The sequence below is a fragment of the Homo sapiens genome, chromosome X (genome assembly GCF_000001405.40).
Source record: "Homo sapiens chromosome X, GRCh38.p14 Primary Assembly".
Lineage (NCBI taxonomy): Eukaryota > Metazoa > Chordata > Mammalia > Primates > Hominidae > Homo > Homo sapiens.
The window spans coordinates 8753786-8761361 of record NC_000023.11 but is presented as its reverse complement, the minus strand read 5'-3'; the positions used below and the strand labels follow the sequence as shown (position 1 = coordinate 8761361).

The following is a 7576-nucleotide window of genomic DNA, read 5'->3' as shown; positions in this document are numbered from 1 at the left end:
AATAGGGTTGCCAAATGTTGCAAAACTAAGCATAGTCTTACAAAACTAAATATAGATGTGCCATATGATCTAACAATTGCACTCTTTGGTAATTACCCAAATGATTTGAAAATTTATTTCCACACAAAAACTTGTATGCAAATGTTTAAGCAGCTTTATCTATCATTACCAAAATTTGGAAGCAACTAAGATGTCCTTCAATGGGCGAGTGCCTAAACAAATTGTGGCACATTCATACAATGGAATACCATTCAGCAATTGTAAGAAATGATCTAGCAAGCCATGAAATGATCAGAAGGAACCTGAAATTCATATTGCTAAAAGAAAAAAGCCAATCTGAAAAGGCTGCATGGTGTATGATTCCTGCTATATAGATGACATTATGGAAAAGGCAAAAGTATGGTGACAGTAAGATGATTAATGTTTACAGGGGTTGGGGACAGGAAAGGATTAATTGGTGGCATGCAGACGATTTTCAGGGCAGCCCAAATTCTGTGTGTGATACTACGATGGTGGATACTCGTCATTATACATTTGTCATTGTGAACCCTAATGTAAACTATGGACTTCAGGTTATAATGGTGTATCAGTATTGGCTCATCAATGGTAAGAAATGTACCAGTCTGATATGGAATATTGAAAGTATGCATGGGGATTTGTTGAGGAAGGGGGTACCTGAGAACCTTACGTACTTACTGCTCAACTTTGCTGTGAATCCAAACCCATACTAAAAAATAAAGTCAACCCAAAAAGTACGAGGTACTCAAATAAACGTGAATTTCAGATACACAACAAATACTTCTTTAGTATAAGCGTGTCCCATGCAGTCTCTGGGACACAATTATACAAAAAAAGTTTCACTGTTTACCTGAAATTCACATTAAACTGAGAGTTCTATATTTTATCTGGCAGCCCTACTTGAGAGAAGACATCTGATCTTATAGCTTCTTGGTGTTCACCACAATGTCAGGGGAGCTGTTGGGGACTTGGGTTTTGCTTCTTGAAGAGCTGCATCAGATGACTTCAGGAGTACTTCTTGCAGCTCAAGACACCACACTACTGAAAAAACCTGGATGAACTGGACACACTTTGAGGAGAGTGATGAGAAATATGATTCAACACCAAGTTGCAGGGTGTGTGGTTGATGACACTGAGGTTATTTAATCTGGAGAAGAGATGATCCAGGAGTAATAGGAATGTTGTTCCTAAGGAGCCTTTTTCGTAAAGATTCATAAAGTCATTTTCTCAAGCTCTAAGTTTATAACATCAGTGCCAATGAGTGAAAGCCACAGCAAAGCCTATTTCAGCTGGCCAGTGGAATTGTTTTCTAACAACGAGAGTCATTCGAAGATGGAAGGGGCTGCTTTGAAAGGTGGTGCCTTGCTCTCTCCTGGGGGTATTTGTAAAAAGTTGGACAATCCCATGGCAAGGGTGCTGATGTGAGCATTACCATATGAATGCGTAGACTGGCTGGTGACACGTTTGTGTGCACACATGCACACAAAAGAAATTTGACATAGTACTGACTTTTTAATTCATTTTTATTGAGATATTGCACGTAGTCCAAAATTCACCACTTTAAAGTATAACTATTCACTAGTTTTTAGTATATTCACAAGGGTGTACAAGTATCACCATCACCACTATCTAATTCCAGAACATCTCCATCACCTCGAAAAGAAAGCCCATTAGTAATCACCCTCCAATCTTCCCTTCTCCCAGCCCCTGGCAACCACTAATCTTTGGATTCTGTCTCTATGGATTTAGGACTGGTTAATATTAAAGTCTCCATGAACTTGGGGAATCTCTGTTTCTATAAAGTGGCCCTTGGATTCTCCCACCCGAACACAAGCAGGTCATTCCCAAAGACAAAGGAATCTCAGCACACTGGAATCAATGTTAAACTCAGGCCCTCAAGAAGTTAGAATGCACCATCGTTAAATCCCACATTCTTATGGCGGCACTGTCTGTTCAAATAATAGTTTTTTTTTTTTTCGTTCCATATAAACATGCACTGGTGAGCCTGAGACTTAAAGGAAATGCCATGAAGTCAAAATAGTGAAAACTACATTTTACTTTGTCAACCTAAATAACAGAGAGTCTCTCCAAAAGAAAAGATGTTTATTTGTGAACAGGGCATTGCAATAGAAACACACATGCCATAGTAAACTATACGCCTATTCAGGGAGGTAAAAGAAGACAAAGGTTTTTAAACAGAAAAATGATGAGAATGATATAATTGTTTTGAAATAATTATCTTTGGCTATAAAAATCAGTAACAAAGGTGACACCAGTCCGAGTTTGGTCAGGGAGTTGTTTGGCAGATGTCCTTATAGAAGTACTTTTTCTGCAAGGTTGCGATGACATTTGTGCAAGGTTGTGGTTTTTGCAGCCTTTTGTGATAGTTTTTGTTATCAGACCTACAAGCATGTGAACCGTCTCCATGGTTTTCCCTGGCTCTGTTTGCCAGGATTTTCTTAACACTAGTCACCCCCACTTCATTCTCACAACTTTCACAGATTGCAGCCTCGTTCGTGTGTACAATAAACCTTCATTTTTTTTCTTTCCAAGTATTCTGCAGTTACAGATGGGGTAAAGTTGCTCCCTAGGGTTTTAAAATTTTCATTTCTTTTTTTCCTTAGTAACTTGTGATCCTGAAGAGAGGAACTAGGAAATTACAACCTTGTTTGCAATAAACTCAACATAGCGTGATTAGAAAAACTGTCCTTTGGCAAAATAGTGATGAAGACATGAATGGGTTCTCTCTTGTTCCATCAGGACAGCTGGTAAACTCCCACACCTTTGCTTCTAGGCTTTCTTTTGGTGGGGCACAAAAAGCTCAGCTACAATAAATCATCATCTAGCCTCAGACATTTATGAACAGATATGTTTTATGAGAGGAGCATATTCAGGCTCTGAAGAAAACATCTGCTTTTTATTCTCAATGTATCACATCTGGGTTATACTTTGCAAAAGTATAGAAATGTTATCATTAAAGATGAATTTGAGTTCAATTGTGGCAAAAGCCACAGCTGAAAACATATGACAGAGTGACAGTTGGCTAAGAAAGCTAGGGCTTTTATTTATTTATTTTAAAGCTATAGCTAGGAAAGGGCTTACAGGGCCACAGGAAAATACTCTACTGAGAGATCTGAATACCTTCCTTAACCGTGTTCCTGCTTCTGGGTTTGCTCAGAGGACTTTATGGGTATTTTGAGTCAGGGGGAAGTTCACATGCTGTCAATGTGTAAGGAAGGCTCTCTTTGATGAAATACAGTGTGGTGTTGACTTGATGAGCCCACTGTTTTTTCTTAAGGAAATACCTTTGTATTGACTGCATTTGAGGACAAGTAGTGACTCATAAACCTGGAGCAATATGAGGATCTAATAAAATCAACCCCTTTACCTCATACATTCCTAGTGGATGCTCCACAAGAGTTCTGGGGCTACTCAGGGCAGGAAGCCATCCTCACAGGGTTCCCAAGAATTCCGGACAGAAAGAGAGTCATCATTCAGCAATCCTCAGGCTGCACTTGCACCCACTTCCTTGTAACCACGAGCCCCATAGCACTAGATCCTGACCATTTGCATCTCCGTTGTTCCTATCGAAAGGATCTCTGATGTTAGAATCAGAGGCTTCTGTTTAAGAATTGCTTCAGCAGATCCTGAATTCCAGTGAAACAGCTGAGGCCAACCAGTTTGAAGATCCCCACAGAGGAACCCAATCAGCGTGAGAACACAGCTTCTTCATCGCCCTGTCCCATGACTTCACCCTGCACTCTTCTACCAATCAGTGATCTCCATGCTTCGGCCCACTCCAAAATCCTTAAAGCCCCTAGCCCCAAACTCCTTGGAGAGATGGATTGAAGGTTTCCTCTCATCTCCTCATTTGGCAGCCCCATGATTAAACCTCTTTCTCTGCTGCAACCTGGTGTCTCGGGGCAGTGACTTGCCACATGCATGGGGCAATGGACTTATTACGGTTACAGGAGAACCCTGACCTACAGAAATGTGGAAAAAGTTTACAAACCATTTAGGAACAGCAAAAGGGACTTGTGGCTACATCACTGGGAGGAGGTTCTGTACAACCGTGTCCTCCCAAGTTGGCCTGGCAACAGAGCATCCTTGCAGGCACTGGGGTCAGTTAACACAGCAGGATGCAGAAGCATAGGTGAAACCAAGCCAAGTGGCCATACAACCCCTAAGCAGCAGTGTGGCAGCCCCTGCTAGCTTTGCTTGCCACTGTCTAATGGATTTGGTCAATAAGGAGGTGATGAGCCAAGATGGATTCTGAGAGTGTATGACTTACACAGACAGCAAAAGTATAGTCAGTATGGTGCCAGCTCCCCAAGGCTCAAGTCCCACCTGACAACACAAAACCAGGGGGGCCAGGTGACAGATACTGTGAGCTAGGGGTAGCCCCTCTGCTGAGGTCCTACCTCTAACCTACAGCCAGGCTGCTTTATAGAGACACACAGAAGCCTGAAGCTGTATCCTAAAGGGGCAAGATGTAGAAGGGCCTGTATTCCCCTCAAAGTAGAGAGATAGATGGAAGAGAAGTGGCCAAGAGCCTGTCTTCCCAAGGTGGGGTTGGGGAAATGTCTTTTAGCTGCTCCTTAAAAGGTTATCTCCTCTGGCTCCAGAAGAAATTGCAGGGTATCCCACCATGACATGGGCCAGAATGTGGTCAACCTTTGCCTGTGTGGCCCATTTGGTGCTGGGCATGGTGGCGCCTTTTGGCCTACAAACAGTTGATCAGTGCCGGAGGAGGGAATCTGTGCCTCAAAAACCCATGCTACACAGCATGGGTCCTCTTTGATCCAGCAGAAGCTCTTGCAATGGTAGCCCAACAAGCAACTTATGATGCCAGTCTTTGGAATGGGCAGGTTTAAGATCACATGGAGTTGTATGCTAATGAAATTATGGAGCACAGGTCATTATTGAATGTTGGCTCTCTTGGCTACTCATTCAAGCCTGTTGATTATATCCTGGGCAATAGGATAGAATCATCCAAGTTTGTCTTCTGTGTCCTCCGTCTTCTGTTCTGTAGTCCTGTGTGCAAGATGGCACAATAATCCAAGTTTGTCTCTGTTCCTGCTCTGTCGTCTTGCATCTGTTTCACTGTTTGTCCATTAAACACCAGGGCCTTTAAGAAGTAGGCCCAAAACCTCATGGGAATGACCTTCCCCACAGAGGTCTGAGTTCTGAGTGCTTCTTTGTCTCTCTTGAACATCAATCACCATTGCCTGTTCCAAGACACTGTTGAGAAGCCAATACTAAGAGATGTGGTTACAGCAGGTTTTCCTGCCCAGGTATCCTGAGAACTCCCTGGAAATTCCCCCATCTTATGATTCACAGCATGTCTGTCTGCACACCTTCATCCTTAGCATTTTTGTGTTGCAAACCAGGGATATCTTTCTTCATTCATGTGCTCATGGGTTGCCAGGATTCTTGTACTATCTTATATTGTAATGTGTAACACATAGCCATCCTGTGTATAATGTTTTAATACTTTCAGTCCATTCCTTTCATCATTAAATAAGCATTTATCGGGTAACTGTTAAATTCCAGGCATCGAACTGAATGATAAGGACACAGAGATAAATGTAATGTGCCTCTTTGTATCATTAAAAGCTTATGATAAATTACTTTGCCATATACAACTGCTATTATGCTGTACATCAGATTATAGCTCTTGTCCACACGAGGTGATTGATGATGCAGCTAGCTCTCTTCTAATAATGAAGAAAACCTATAAAATGAGAATACTTCTGCTGAACTTATTGAGCTGCAAAATTATTTGGTTTTATTATGTGGTGGGACAAGAACTTAATGCCCATTGCGTTGATTTGCTATCTCTGACCTGACTTTCCAGACAACTTAAAAACCAGAAGAAATATAAAAATCTTTCAAGATCTACCAGGAAAACTATTCTGAGTATTTAAAAGAGGAAACGCAATTCAGGAAGTGATGAAAGATCAAACTCCGGAAGCTACTAAGACCCCTAGAGGTAGGATCCTAGGTGGCAGGAAGTTACTAGCAAGCCCAAGGTGGCACCACCTGGTGGAAGCTGAAACTCAAACAGGCATATCCAGAGATGCTGGAAATACACAAAGGATACGGACACCCGGAGACACCTGCCACTGCCTCCCATTAGCCCAACCAGCTGGATGCCTGCTTGGAAGAGAGCCTGAGGCCAGAGCTTGAAGGCATAGCCCAGGGAAAGTGAGGGCAGATACAAGGAAAGTAGCATATGGACAGAGATGTGTGCTCTCACAGGGACATAATAAACAATAAGCATTAAATATTACTTATAATAATATCTTACGCTATTTTTGTATTTTACATAATGATACTTTCATTCTACATTTGTTGTTGTTGTTGTTGAGTCCCATGGCAGGAAGGAAAAGTAAAGCCAGAGCAAGAAGAGCCAGTGTGTCCAGGATGAGGGTCAGTTTCCAGGTTGAAAGATTTAGGTCGGGGGAGGCTTTAGAAGGTGTCACTGGAGCAAGTTTTCAACAGCTGTAAGGTGTTAGTTGTGCAAAATTACCCCCCGGTGTTTTTCAGGCAGAGGAAACAACAAGAACGCAGATCCTAAAGGGAAGCAGACTAGAAATGTTCCAAAATCTGCAACAAAACAGAAAGAAAAGCATGCAAACTGAGAGCAGAATCACTTAAAGTCAGAAAGGAGAGGATGCCCCGGATTCCCCACCAAGGAGAGAAGCAGGCAGCTGAAAAGTAGAATCTTCCTTCAGTCGGGCCCTAAGCGGGCAAATCACATCAAAGCAACAACAAGATGCATTTATTATAAAATAGTATTTGATCTGTAAACATGAATAATTCATTCATTATTCAGTAAAGACTTATTGAATGTTTGTTATGTGTCAATAGTGGCAAATTTGGTAGACAAAGCCCTGCCTCCATGGAGCTTATGTTCTAGTTGGAGAGATACAGAACACGCAAGTAAATAAAATAAGCAAGTGAATGTAAAAATAAATAACACAACTTGAGGGAGAGGGAAGCGTTAGGAAGAAAAATGAAGGGGAATAAGGGTTTAGTGAGTGATGCGGTAGAGGGTATATGTAGATGGAGAAATCAGAGGGTCTTCACATAAACACCTTTCTCAGCTTATGATAATCCATTTTATTTTTAAAATTATTTTCATCAATATATAATAGGTGTACATATATGTGATAATGTAATGTATCCACTTATATATTTTATTTCTATACAATGGCTATTATATAACTTTTATACGTGATCTATTTTTGGTTTTAGTTACATAGGGCTATAAATAAAAATCTACTTAAATACTGTATTTTAAGTATTGTTTAATCCCATTTGACATGCACATCGATACTCATAAAGGCTATGTCTATTTCTGTTAGATGTTGTAGAAGTGTTTTCCTCTTGGTGAAGAATGAGACGGTGATGTTTGAGCAGAGACTAGAGGACCTAGGAAGACTGGTGTGAAAATGTCTTTGGCATAGGGAAGAGCATTTGCTAATCTTCTGAAGAAAGCATAAGCTTCAGTGCAGTAAGAAATTCCACTGGGGCTGGAGTGGGCAGAGGAGTG

At 41.3% G+C, this 7576-nt stretch overlaps 1 annotated feature.

Annotated features, from left to right (window-relative positions):
• Positions 2925 to 4124: an enhancer, noted in NCBI's record as "CDK7 strongly-dependent group 2 enhancer chrX:8725279-8726478 (GRCh37/hg19 assembly coordinates)". NCBI's record gives its function as "activates an origin of replication core promoter dependent on BRD2, BRD4, P300/CBP, MED14 and CDK7 cofactors, with strong dependence on CDK7, by STARR-seq in HCT116 cells {active_cell/tissue: HCT116}" and the evidence as "EXISTENCE:reporter gene assay evidence [ECO:0000049][PMID:35650434]".